Source organism: Homo sapiens, chromosome 3 (assembly GCF_000001405.40).
Source record: "Homo sapiens chromosome 3, GRCh38.p14 Primary Assembly".
In the NCBI taxonomy this organism is placed as follows: Eukaryota; Metazoa; Chordata; class Mammalia; order Primates; family Hominidae; genus Homo; species Homo sapiens.
The window spans coordinates 96,971,244-96,986,595 of record NC_000003.12 but is presented as its reverse complement, the minus strand read 5'-3'; the positions used below and the strand labels follow the sequence as shown (position 1 = coordinate 96,986,595).

General features: G+C 35.9%; 1 protein-coding gene across 15 annotated transcripts in view; it reads right to left on the bottom strand.

Annotated features, from left to right (window-relative positions):
* Window positions 1–15,352, bottom strand: part of EPHA6 (EPH receptor A6) — a 946,939-nt gene that overhangs the window by 774,937 nt on the left and 156,650 nt on the right. The window contains exons 1-2 of one of the 15 annotated variants that reach the window (XM_017006213.2): window positions 13,892–14,360; window positions 8,255–8,327 (exon numbers count right to left, since the gene is read on the bottom strand). The exons of the other annotated variants lie outside the window; for them this stretch is intronic. The gene's annotated coding sequence lies outside the window, so the exon portion shown is untranslated. Of the gene's footprint in view, window positions 1–8,254; window positions 8,328–13,891; window positions 14,361–15,352 lie in introns of those variants that run through there. 15 annotated transcript variants of the gene reach the window in all.

Genomic DNA, 15,352 nt, shown 5'->3' with positions numbered 1-15,352 from the left:
TAAGAAGAGGGTTATAATTTTAAGTGGGTGGCTAGAAAAGGCCTTACTGAGGTAGTGACATTTACGCATTGCCTTAGAGATGAGATAGTGAAACTTGCAAAGAGGAAGCAGTAAATACAAATAACCTGAGGCAAGACTGTACAGGTATATTTGAGGAAGAGCATAAGTGGGCACTGAAAGCACATTAGGTAATAAGAACAGACAGTCAGAGAGCAGCCAAACCAAAAGTCTTTATTAAGCATTTTAAGCCCTTTGGCTTTTACTCTGAGCTAGATCACTGGATTATTTTCACTTCTGTATGTTTATGTACAAGCAGTTTGCCACTTGATTGCATAGAAAGACTTTGTCCATTTTTAAGGGATTTAATAAAAATATTTGGGTACCCTGAAAGCAGTTTATATTATCAATATTTATTCATTTAATATTGCATACTTCTATACTGTAAATTTAGATTATAACTCCATTTTATTTGTATAGCTATAACTGATCATTTTCAATACAAGAAAAACATTCAGGTAACCTTATGGCATTTTTGGGAAAACATGCTAGGCATCATAGTTTATCATTTCTATTAGAGTATACTGAAAACAACAAATGGTTTGCTATAGTGAATAAGGGTTCTATTGGTTGATAACATACTTCAGTTATTTATAATAAGATTATTTAACACATTCTGTTTGCAGTTTCTTATTTTAACTGGCTATAGAGAGTTACTAAATCAAGGCTGGTTGAGTTTCACTAGTATAGTATAGTTTCTAACAGAATGCCTATTTTCCTCAGTATACAGCACTATTATGACACAAAGTACTTTTAATTATCTACAGTAAATTTCCAGAATAATTTATATTATCCATCATGCAAACTTAACACAATCTTTATCCAAAAAATATTTTCTGCAAATTTCTTGCTTGAAATCCAGAGGGCATTTTCCAGAGAAAACAATGAGTTCCTTTGAATTGTATATTTAATTTTACAAAATACACACATTTTTTACCAGGGGTGATTCAAAAATCTCATGGGAATATACATGATATTTCCCATCTAAATGCCTTTCATCCTAATGTATAATGGGTCTTATGTTACTCTGAGGACACTTAAAGGCAAACCAGCACTATCACAGCTCATTGGAACCACAATATAATCATTCTAAATATAACTGTGAACCAAGATAATAGTAAAAAATATGATATAATTTTAAACTGTCAAAATCAATGTCTAAAAATCTAGGTATTTTACTCATAGGAAAGAATCTAAAGTACTCATCCAATGATGATTTTTATTTTGAATATATTTATAATTACAATTGATTTCACTTCTCAGGGAATGCATATACATTATTATTAATGTCTATACTACATCCTTTACTCTCCCATATAGGAGTAAAGAATTATATTCCGGGGGGTGTTTCCAAGATGGCTGAATAGGAACAGCTCCAGTCTACAGCTCCTAGCATGAGCGACACAGAAGACGGGTGATTTCTACATTTCCAACTGAGGTACCGGGTTCATCTCAATGGGGCTCGTCAGACAGTGGGGGCAGGACAGTGGGTGCAGCCCACTGAGTGTGAGCCAAAGCAGGGCGAAGCATCGCCTCACCCAGGAAGCGCAAGGGGTCAGGGAATTCCCTTTCATAGCCAAGCAAAGCTGTGACAGATGGCATCTGGAAAATTGGGTCACTCCCACCCTAATACTGTGCTTTTCCAACAGTTTTAGCAAATGGCACACCAGGAGATTATATCCCACACCTGGCTTAGAGGGTGCCATGCCCACGGAGCCTTGCTCATTGCTAGCACAGCAGTCTGAGATCAAACTGCAAGGCAGCAGGGCTGGGGGAGGGACGCCCACCATTGCTGAGGCTTGAGTAGGTAAACAAAGCAGTGGGGAAGCTGGAACTGGGTAGAGCACACCCCAGCTCAAGGAGGCCTGCCTGCCTCTGTAGACGCCACCTCTGGGGGCAGGGCATAGACAAACAAAAGACAGCAGAAACCTCTGCAGACTTAAATGTCCCTGTCTGACAGCTTTGAAGAGAGCAGTGGTTCTCCCAGCATGGATTTTGAGATCTGAGAATGGACAGACTGCCTCCTCAAGTGGGTCCCACACCCCCAAGTAGCCTAACTGGGAGGCACCCCCCAGTAGGGGCAGACTGACACCTCACACGGCCAGGTACCCCTCAGAGATGAAGCTTCCAGAGGAACAATCAGGCAGCAACATTTGCTGTTCAGCAATATTCGGTGTTCTGCAGCCTCCACTGCAGATACCCAGGCAAACAGGGTCTGGAGTGGACCTCCAGCAAACTCCAACAGACCTGCAGCTGAGGGTCCTGACTGTTAGAAGGAAAACTAACAAACAGAAAGGACATCCACACCAAAACCCCATCTGCACGTCACCATCATCAAAGACCAAAGGTAGATAAAACCACAAAGATGGGAAAAAAACAGAGGAGAAAAGCTGAAAATTCTAAAAACCAGAGCACCTCTCCCCCTCCAAAGGAATGCAGTTCCTCGCCAGCAACGGAAAAAAGCTGGACGGAGAATGACGTTGACGAGTTGAGAGAAGAAGGCTTCAGATAATCAAACTTCTCCGAGCTAAAGAAGGAAGTTAGAACCCATCGCAAAGAAGCTAAAAACCTTGAAAACAGATGAAATGAATGGCTAACTAGAATAACCAGTGCAGAGAAGTCCTTGAATGACCTGATGGAGTGGAAAACCATGGCATGAGAACTATGTGATGAATTCACAAGCTTCAGTAGCTGATTCAATCAACTGGAAAAAAGGGTATCAGTGATTGAAGATCAAATGAATGAAAAGAAGTCAGAAGAGAAGTTTAGAGAAAACAGAATAAAAAGAAATGAACAAAGCCTCCAAGAAATATGGGACTATGTGAAAAGACAAAATCTACATCTGATTGGTGTACCTGAAAGTGATGGGGAGAATGGAACCAAGTTGGAAAACACTCTGCAGGACATTATCCAGAAGAACCTCCCCAACCTAGCAAGGCAGGCCAACATTCAAATTCAGGAAATACAGAGAATGCCACAAAGATATTCCTCGAGAAGAGCAACTCCAAGACACATAATTGTCAGATTCACCAAAGTTGAAATGGAGGAAAAAATGTTAAGGGCAGCCAGAGAGAAAGGTCACATTACCCACAAAGGGAAACCCATCAGACTAACAGCTGATCTCTCCGCAGAAACTCTACAAGCCAGAAGAGAGTGGGGGCCAATATTCAACATTCTAAAAGAAAAGAATTTACAACCCAGAATTTCATATCCAGCCAAACTAAGCTTCATAAGTGAAGGAGAAATAAAATACTTTACAGACAAACAAATGCTGCTAGTTTTTGTCACCAGCAGGCCTGCCCTACAAGAGCTCCTGAAGGAAGCACTAAACATAGAAAGGAACAACCGGTACCAGCCACTGCAAAAACATGCCAGATTGTAAAGACCATCGAGGCTAGGAAGAAACTGCATCAACTAACGAGCAAAATAACCAGTTAACATCATAATGACAGGATCAAATTCACACATAACAATATTAACCTTAAATGTAAATGGGCTAAATGCTCCAATTAAAAGACACAGACTGGAAAATTGGATAAAGTCAAGACCCATCAGTGTGCTGTATTCAGGAAACCCATCACATATGCAGAGACACACATAGGCTCAAAATAAAAGGATGGAGGAAGATCTACCAAGCAAATGGAAAACAAAAAAAGGCAGGGGTTGCAATCCTAGTCTCTGATAAAACAGACTTTAAACAAACAAAGATCAAAAGACACAAAGAAGGCCATTACATAATGGTAAAGGGATCAATTCAACAAGAAGAGCTAACTGTCTTAAATATATATGCATTCAATACAGAAGCACACAGATTCATAAAGCAAGTCCTTTGAGATCTACAAAGATACTTAGACCCCACACAACAATAATGGGAGACTTTAACACCCCACTGTCAACATTAGACAGATCAATGAGACAGAAAGTTAACAAGGATATCCAGGAATTGAACTCAGCTCTGCACCAAGCGGACCTAATAGACATCTACAGAACTCTCCATCCCAAATCAACAGAATATACATTCTTCTCAGCACCACATCACACTTATTCCAAAATTGACCACATAGTTGGAAGTAAAGCACTCCTCAGCAAATGTAAAAGAACAGAAATTATAACAAACTGTCTCTCAGACCACAGTGCAATCAAACTAGAACTCAGGATTAAGAAACTCACTCAAAACCACTCAACTACATGGAAACTCAACAACCTGCTCCTGAATGACTACTGAGTACATAACAAAATGAAGGCAGAAATAAAGATGTTCTTTGAAACCAACAAGAACAAAGACACAACATACCAGAATCTCTGGGACACATTCAAAGCAGTGTGCAGAGGGAAATTTATAGCACTAAATACCCACAAGAGAAAGCAGGAAAGATCTAAAATTGACACCCTAACATCACAATTAAAAGAACTAGAAAAGCAAGAGCAAACACATTCAAAAGCTAGCAGAAGGCAAGAAATAACTAAGATTAGAGAAGAACTGAAGGAGATAGAGACACAAAAAACCCTTCAAAAACTCAATGAGTCCAGTGGATGGTTTTTTGAAAAGATCAACAAAATTGATAGACCGCTAGCAGGACTAATAAAGAAGAAAAGAGAGAAGAATCAAATAGATGTAATAAAAAATGATAAAGGGGATATCACCACTGATCCCACAGAAATGCAAACTACCATCAGAGAATACTATAAACACCTCTATGCAAATAAACTAGAAAATCTAGAAGAAATGGATAAATTTCTTGACACATACACCCTACCAAGACTAAACCAGGAAGAAGTTGAATCTCTGAATGGACCAACAACAAGCTCTGAAATTGAGGCAATAATTAATAGCCTAGGAAACAAAAAAAAGTCCAGGACCAGAAGGATTCACAGCAGAATTCTGTCAGAGGTACAAGGAGGAGCTGGTACCATTCCTTCTGAAATTATTCCAATCAATAGAAAAAGAGAGAATCCTCCCTCACTTATTTTATGAGGCGAGCATCATCTTGATACTAAAGCCTCGCAGAGACACAACAAAAAAAAAAGAGAATTTTAGACCAATATCCCTGATGAACATCGATGCAAAAATCCTCAATAAAATCCTGGCAAAACAAATCTAGCAGCACATCAAAAAGCTTATCCACCATGATCAAGTGGGCTTCATCCCTGGGATGTAAGGCTGGTTCAACATAAACAAATCAATAAATGAAATCCAGCACATAAACAGAAACAAAGACAAAAACCACATGATTATCTCAATAGATGCAGAAAAGGCCTTTGACAAAATTCAACAGCCCTTCATGCTAAAAACTCTCAATAAATTAGGTACTGATGGGACGTATCTCAAAATAATAAGAGCTATTTATGACAAACCCATAGCCAATATCATACTGAATGGGCAAAACTGGAAGCATTCCCTTTGAAAACTGGCACAAGACAGGGACGCCCTCTCTCACCACTCCTATTCAACATAGTGTTGGAAGTTCTGGCCAGGGCAATTAGGCAGAAGAAAGAAATAAAGGGTATTCAATTAGGAAAAGAGGAAGTCAAATTGTCCCTGTTTGCAGATGACATGCTTGTATATTTAGAAAACCCCATCGTCTCAGCCCAAAATCTCCTTAAGCTGATAAGCAACTTCAGCAAAGTCTCAGGATACAAAATCAATGTGCAAAAATCACAAGCATTCTTATACACCAATAACAGAAAAACACAGAGCCAAATCATGAGTGAACTCTCATTCACAATTGCTTCAAAGAGAATAAAATACCTAGGAATCCAACTTACCAGGGATGTGAAGAACCTCTTCAAAAAGAAATACAAACCACTGCTCAATGAAATAACAGGATACAAAGAAATGGAAGAACATTCCATGCTCATGGGTAGGAAGAATCAATATCATGAAAATGGCCATACTGCCCAAGGTAATTTATAGATTCAATGCCATCCCCATCAAGCTACCAATGACTTTCTTCACAGAATTGGAAAAAACTACTTTAAAGTTCATATGGAACCAAAAAAGAGCCCGCATTGCCAAGACAATCCTAAGCCAAAAGAACAAAGCTGGAGGCATCATGCTACCTGACTTCAAACTATACTACAAGGCTACAGTAACCAAAACAGCATGGTACTGGTACCAAAACAGAGATATAGACCAATGGAACAGAACAGACCCCTCAGAAATAATACCACACATCTACAACCATCTGATCTTTGACAAACCTGACATAAACAAGAAATGGGGAAAGGATTCCCTATTTAATAAATGGTGCTGGGAAAACTGGCTAGCCATAGGTAGAAAGCTGAAACTGGATCCCTTCCTTACACCTTATACAAAAATCAATTCAAGATGGATTAAAGACTTAAATGTTTGACCTAAAGCCATAAAAACCCTAGAAGAAAACCTAGGTAATACCGTTCAGGACATAGGCATGGGCAAGGACTTCATGTCTAAAACACCAAAAGCAATGGCCACAAAAGCCAAAATTGACAAATGGGATCTAATTAAACTCAAGAGCTTCTGCACAGCAAAAGAAACCACCATCAGAGTGAACAGGCAACCTACAGAATGGGAGAACATTTTTGCAATCTACTCATCTGACAAAGGGCTAATATCAAGCATCTACAATGAACTCAAACAAATTTACAAGAAAAAAGCAAACAACCCCATCAAAAAGTGGGTGAAGGATATGAACAGACACTTCTCAAAAGAAGATATTTATGCAGCCAAAAGGCACATGAAAAAATGCTCATCATCACTGGCCATCAGAGAAATGCAAATCAAAACCACAATGAGATACCATCTCACACCAGTTAGAATGGCAATCATTAAAAAGTCAGGAAACAACAGGTGCTGGAGAGGATGTGGAGAAATAGGAACACTTTTACACTGTTGGTGGGTCTGTAAACTAGTTCAACCATTGTGGAAGACAGTGTGGCGATCCCTCAAGGATCTAGAAATAGAAATACCATTTAACCCAGCCATCCCATTACTGGGTATATACCCAAAGGATTATAAATCATGCTGCTATAAAGGCACATGCACACATATGTTTATTGTGGCACTATTCACAATAGCAAAGACTTAGAACCAACCCAAATGTCCATCAATGATAGACTGGATTAAGAAAATGTGGCACATATACACCATGGAATACTATGCAGCCACAAAAAAGGATGAGTTCATGTCCTTTGTAGGGACATGGATGAAGCTGGAAACCATCATTCTCAGCAAAGTATTGCAAGGACAAAAAACCAAACACCGCATGTTCTCACTCATAGGTGGGAATTGAACAATGATAACACAGGAAGGGGAACATCACACACCGGGGCCTGTGGTGGGGTGGGGGGAGGGGAGAGAGAAAGCATTAGGAGATATACCCAATGTAAATGATGAGTTAATGGGTGCAGCACACAAACATGGCACATATATACATATGTAACAAACCTGCACGTTGTGCACATGTACCCTAGAAATTTTAAAGTATAAAAAAAAAGAATTATATTCCCTGTAAATTCTGTTTTAGTATCTTCATCACTTCATATTAACAAAAAGCATTAACCATGTTCAACAAAAAATTAATTCTCTGAAAATATGAGATTAACTTTAACTCAAATATGAAGAAGTGTTTGAAAATATCATTTATGAAATTATAATATTTCCTTATTTACAAATACATTCAGTTGCGGAGATGTTCAGAATGAGAGAAGGGTCTGAAGTGAAAAAATATATGTATTCTCTAATCAGAACCGATATAAACCAAGAAATATAGAAGTACAAAATACACACAGGTAATCGGAAATGTTATTCTTCTCAAATACAGTGCATAAGGATACATAACAAAATGATGCATTTTTTTTTACACTGAGTTTGTGATGTTTGATGAAAAATAATGTTTCTTCTTCTACTTAAAATAAATTAGAATTAGACTTAGGTACCAAAACACTCAAAACAGACATAATTGGTAAATTTCATCTTATTCAAGAATATAGAAAGTAATATATATTGATATACAAATTTGGATCTGATTCCCTAAAACAAGAAGATAGATTCAAGATTGATATAGATCTAAAAGCCTATGGAATTTGCCATAAAATATAACATTAGTAGGTATAAAAATTATATCACATTTCAGGCATACTTTTCCTTTTGGAAATACTGCATTTATATATAAAGATGAAACCTGAACACAGGTTTAAGCTATGCAGGTCCACTTACAATGAATTTTCTTCAGCCTCTGCCACCTCTGAAACAGCAAGACCAATGCTTCCACTTTACCCTTCTCTTCAGCCTACTCAACATAAAGACAACAAGGATGAAGGCCACTTCATGATCGTCCAGTTCCATTTAATGAATAGTCAATATATTTTCTCTTCCTTATGATTTTCTTTTCTTTTTCTGAGATAGGGTCTCACTCTGTTACCCAGGTTGGAGCAAAGTGGCGCAATTTTTGGTCACTGCAACCTCCATGTCCCAGGCTCAAGAAATCCTTCCACCTCAGCTTCCAAAGTAGCTGGGACTACAGGCATGCACCACCATGCCCAGCTAATTTTTTGTATTTTGGGTAGAGATGGGATTTTGCCATGTTGCCCAGGCTGGTCTCAAACTCCTGAGCTCAGGTGATACACCTGCCTTGGCCTCTCAAACTTCTGGGATTACAGGCATGAGGCAGCATGCCCAGCTATGATTAATAACATTTTCTTTTCTCTAGCTTACTTTACTGTAAGAATACAGTATGTGTAATATATAACATAGAAACTATGTGTTAATCAACTGTTTATGTTATCAACAAGGCTTCTGATAAACAGTAGGCTATTAGTAGTTAACTTTTCTGGACAGTCAAATGTTATACATGGATTTTCAATAACACAGAGGTCAATCTCCATGCTGTTCAAGGGGTCAATTTTAACCTTTTAGTTATAATTTCAAGTATTAAATTAAATAGGGTCTCTAAAAAGTAGGGGTCCCAAGGCAAGAATATGAGTATGGCAGCTCACATACCACATGCCTTAATATTTTTAAATGATAAATCTTTTGTTACTTGTATAAATGTATAGAATACAAGTATAATTTTATTACACTAATATATTGCATATTGGTGAAGTCAGGGCTTTAGTGTACTCATCACCGGAATAATGTACATTGCACCATTAAGTAATTTCTCATCATCCACCCCCCTTTTACCCTTTCACCTTTCCAAGTCTCCATTGTCTATCATTCCACAGTGTACATCTATGTGTGCACATTATTTAGCTCCCACTTATAAATGAGAACATGCAGTATTTGTCTTTCTATGTGTCAGTTGTTTCATTTAAGATAATAGCCTGCAGTTCCATTCTTTAAATTAGACCAAACTTAAAATATACAGTACCAGTCTACTTTGTAAAGATACTTTCATAACAACCTGACAATCCAGGTTCATATTTAAAATACTTGGACTCCTAAGACCCTAGGCAGCATGTAGTGGCCTATAGAGAGCCAGCTCTTAACCTCAGTTAATCCCACTTCTTTGCCCTTACCTGACTCTAGCTCTATCTCACACCCTGACAGACTTCACATATGCACATATATGAGCATCTCATACACAAGCTGTGTCTTTTCCCTGTTTCAAAAAGCTGCCAACTTTAGTCCTCCAGTGAACTTAGGCTGAGCACACCAGTGTCACAGTACATCCTTTGGAGGATGAATCCCAGGAAGAATCTGTGAAGCTCCTAAAAGTAGACTTAAGGCCATTTGAGCAAGAAAGTCTAGGGTCTTGAATACCTGTGCTATGGTATAGAAATAAACCATAAGATCTAAGTGGCATATCTTCTTATCCCTCAAGGTCATATCTTCATGAAGGGTAATGTAGCCAGAGGAGTGAACGGGCAAGACCATCTAAAGCTCTAGCATGGAGTAGAGGCTTCCCTTCCTGGGTCTAAAGATGATCATAATTCTTTTTAAAATCCAATTTGGACTGTAAGATTACTGGAATTATTTTTTAATAGCAAAGAGAGTTAAAAACCTATGTTTTACTTCATTATTAGGTAGTTAGTGTAAACATTTACTTTAAAAGCCTTTTTTTAACGTCATAAAGTACTTTGTCACCTCTACACATCATGTGTTAATAAGCATTAATTAAAATGTTAATTGTTAATTAACAACATTTTAGTGCAGGTTTAAGTGTAACAATCTAATAGTTTATATAGTAAAATATAGTAAGTGTTCAAAGGACAGCAACACTCATGAACTGGAGTTGTTTGGAAGGCTCAGACAAGAAGCATGCACTGGACTTGAACAATAAAGAATTATAAAATTCAATAAGCCAGAGGGAGGAAAGTGAATAGAAATTAATTTATAAAACTAAGCTATATGCATACACTTTTAGACAACTTTAGTTCTGTCCCACTTAAAGTTCCTACCCCTATTTAAAACAAACATATAACTTATTATCCAACTGTGAAATACTTAGACATGCATAAACCTGGTAAATGTACAAATTACAGGATAAAGTATATTATCAAACCTGTCATTAATTTTGCTATTAATTTTGCACTTCTGTCAGGTGCTAGCTTTTATATAATAGGTAATGAATACAAAACATTACAACTCCTCAATCACATGTATGCTTTTTAAGAAAAATTTTATGTAGAACTTACAATAAAATACTAATATATAATGTAGAAAAGAGTTAAATAAATCAAATTAAATAATACATGTTTCTGCAGGGAAGAAAATCTTGCAAATAATTTCTGTTTTCATGACCTATATGAGTAGAACAAGGAACTTCTGTCTATGGTCATTTTGTGAGCTCTTTTTTGGATCAAGGAGTGGACAGATGGATGACAAAGAGATGGATGGAAAAGTTTTGTAACTAAGTGTCCTGCTCAATGAGAAGTTTTGGTTAAGCAAGAATGATTTGTACTCCAAGGAATTCTTTCTTTCATGTACTACAAGGTTACCTTGGATGTAATGATCCTTAAGGCCACTATTTATATACTGAACTTATATTCATCAAAACTTTTTCACAAATGTTAACTCATTTGGTCTTCATTGGTCCAATAAAGCAAGACAGGTATTTTTATTTTCATAATAACAATAAGGAATCCAATACCCAAGAATAAAATCAATTACCCAGTGTTTCATGGACTAGAATTAGAACTAGGTCTTCTAACTTTATTTTACGTATTCTATGACGTTAAGACCTCTTAAAAAGCTTGCTGAGAGGAGATGGTATGGGTGGAGAAACTGCACTTCTCATTGCTAGCCAATTATTAGATATAGCAAAGGGCTGGGCCTGGAGCTTCATATGCAAGTCTGCCCCTCCCAAGTCTACAGCCCCAAACTCTTCCTTATGATGTGTTACTCTCACACATCAAGGCAATATTTCCCCTACCCTAGATGATCGATCATAGGGCAGGTATCTGGTACTTATAGACCACCCCTATTGCCCAAATTCCACAGGAATTATTCAAACTAAGCAAACACCAAAGTGTTTGCTTTGCTCCGCCCTGTCTTTCCCTCAGAAACCCTAGTAAAGGCTCTAGCCTAGATTGCCCCTCACTCCTGTCTTCTACCACCTGACCAAAACATAGTGCTTCCTGTGTGGCCCTGAATGGCATGCACTGACCCCCTCTCTGGGACTTATGAGTATAATAAACTTCTTTCCGGGCCTTGTTCTCATTTCCTCCTATGACCACACTGACTTTATCACACTGTATTCAACATGTATGTCTTAGAATGAATAAATTGTTATATGGATCTTAAGACATTCCTCCTGGCATCCTGTCAAAGGACAGCTGATTCTTGCTTAACCAAAAGCTTTCATTGAACAAGAGACTCTGGCAAAATTTCCTCATATAGTCATTCCTTGATCCAAAAAAAAGGATTCATAAAATGAACATAAGACAAAATGAGTCTCTCTGTTCTATTTATCCAGGACATAAGAATAGATGTAGTTTGCAAGATATTCTATTCTGTAGAAGCATGTATAATTCGATTTTTGCTTTACTGAGCTCTTTTCTACTTTCTATATTGGTGAGTTATTTTATATATTGATATTTTAAATATTACATAAAAAACATAAATTAAAAAAAAAAAGAGACAGAGGAACTGGGATATTTTAGTTCAGTGCCTATTATGTAAAAGCAAGCACCTGACCAAACTGACCAACTTAGTACAGATTTAATAACAAAAGTATTTATAATGACATATATAATTTACAGATTCTTATATATCAGAGTTCTCTAAAAACCCTTCCCCATCAACATATAAATTTTCATTTCCATAGCAAGCTAAATAAACTAGGCCAAAAAGCCAGGTTTTAAAATTTTATGTTATAATAATAATTTAATAATATATCAATAATTAATAATATAATTTTAATATATTATTTGTAATTATTATAAGTGTAATACAATTTTAATACATTATTTATAATTATAAGTATAATAAAGCTTTATATTATAAATACAATTTCATTATATTATTTATAATTATTAATCATACTACAAATATATAATTTTATTATATATATTTATTGTATTAATAACATATTTTATATATTTTATTAAATATACACAGTATATTATATATAATAAAGATTCTGTTATAATATGTATATTTATTATGTATACACTATATTATATATTATATAATATACAGAATCTATTATATCATATATTATATAATATACAGAATCTATCATATTATATATTATATAATATAGAGGTTCTTTTTCTTTTTTTTTTTTTTTTGATATGGAGTCTCGCTCTGTCGCCCAGGCTGGAGACCAGTGGCATGATCTCGGCTCACTGCAGCCCCCACGCCCGGGTTCAGGCAATTTCCCTGCCTCAGCCTCCCAAGTAGCTGGGATTACAGGTACATGCCACCATGCCTGGCTAATTTTTTTGTATTTTTAGTAGAGACAGGGTTTCACCATGTTGGCCAAACTGGTCTCGAACTCCTGAACCCTCAGGCAATCCGCCCCCCTCAGCCTCCCAAAGTGCTGGGATTATAGGCATGAGCCACTGTGCCCAGCAATATAGAGATTCTTAATAGTACAGATTTAATGACAGATTTATTTATAATGATATAGATATTTATAATAATTACAGATTGAATTATTTTAAACCTGTAATAGCTACAATTACCAAACTTACGTACATCTAAACATTTCGCAGCTAAAGAATAAGTTATATGTATATTTGTTTTAAAAAGGGTAAGAAGTTTTACTTCCTGGATATACATGGTACAGGATTAAAATTGCCAATAGTGTGTGCATATAGCTTAGTGGTTTGGGGGCTGTATCATCTGAAGTGAATATTTGTTAGAAGTGATAGGAAATGTGAATAGCTATGAGTAATAATTAATCTATTTAATATTTATGCCTGAGGATTCTCTAAAAACCCTTCTACATCCACATATGAATTTTTGTTTCTATAGCAAGCTAAATAAACTAGGCCAAAAAACCAGATTCCTTTTGGGTATAGAAAGTCAGAACAAGGAAATTAATTCTTAAAGCAACTGGCAGTCATTGAGGAATCAGATGGCTTTCTTTTCTTGGAGAACAAAATAAGGCAATCAAACAGCCTTTCTAGGCAAAGAATATTCAGATAATATGCTGGCAAATGGACACATACATCCAAAGTTCTTACATAAATCTCTCAAATTTATATCTTCTTCCCTCTGAAAATCTTTAGAATTCAAAGAAATATAAACTTTTATTTCCAAAATCAATTTTGAAATTTTAAAATAGGAGCAGATAGTTTGTTTCTTAGCACAGAACGGACTATTGGAAAGCTAATTATATTTTCAAATGGCAAGGATAAGTCCTGATAAAATACTCAAAACATAGCAAAAGAAAAGAGCATTTACCTTCAGACCAGTGTGCTTGCGTATGTATCCCAGAGAGAAAAGGGAGAGGGAAGTCACACCCTAGATGCCTTAGGACCTTAAACAGCTGCAAGGCTGGTCTGATTTAAGGAAATGAAATATCAGTTAAAACCAATCTTAAATATGCTGACAGTAGGTAACAGAAAAGGAAATATTCTAATAACACGGAAGACTGGGACTGTTGGAGAAACATATTTTCGTCTTTACCTGTGCTTCCTAAATACGTGTGTGTGTGTGTGTGTGTGTGTGTGTGTGTGTGTGTTTGTGTGTGTGTTTCTGAAATCTCTTTCCTCTCTTCCCTTTTCTGTATTGATTTTTGTTAATTACATGCTGTAAGACCATATCCTCTAATACTAAAACTATTAAGGCATAAATTTATTTCCTCCTCAATTTCTAACAGATCCCAGTTATAGACTAAAAAGGACATAAATACTTGGAGATAATATTTTTCTTTATTGTTTTTCTTCAAAATGTATTTATAGTAAATATATAAAGGGGGAATAGTCATGGAAAATAGAATATAACAAGTGACCATTTGAAAGATATAGAATCCAAAAGACTAAATGCGTTTTTAAATTAGCTAGCATTACACTGGTAGATGATTAATACACAAATGATACAGCATATTATTATTTTTTCCCAAAAGTAAAAGACAATTTAAAGATAGATTAAAACAATATACAACAACAAAATCATAATAAATCTATAATTTCTAGCCAGGTTTTTTGTATAATATGTTCTCAATGTTTTGTAGTATATGCCAATAATTAATTATTCCTCCAAATCAACTAAATTTAAATGGGAAAGAGAGCCAAAAAGGGAAATAAAATCTTCAACTTCATTCTAAGATTAAGAATGCAGAATGGCTGAGAATGAAAAGTTGCAAAATGGCCCATATGTGATTTGTTCCAAACATTCTTCATCTTACCTTGCATAAGCCAAATAAACTAAGGTTGTTGAATGTACACGGGTATCTCATTCTGTAATTCTGCAGTGGCTTAATTTTTAAACATACGTATCTAATATTCTGTATCAAAGTAAAGCTTGTTAAAGAAGTCTTCTTATTCTAATATTACATTTTCCTCAGAACTACTTAGTCACTTTGTATCAATATACTGACATAAACTTAGAAAATTAGTGCCCTGAATTCTGCTGCTAGGCATGTAGTTAATAACATAAATCTGTTTTTGCAGCAGAAAAGTGAAGGCTCTGCATTTAAATGATAACCAGCTTTGGAGAATAAAACAAGAAGCAAAATGCATCATGTGCAGATACATTTCTATTTCACTTTGGGCAAACTTAAAACTTTTTTATTAACACTACAAAGATATTTAATAACAAAGGTAAGAATTCAGTGGTGTATCTGGAAGACAACTGCTGAGTCTAATTAAGTTTTACAATTAAATGTTTTACTTTTGGTAGATTTGTCCTATTAACAAGATT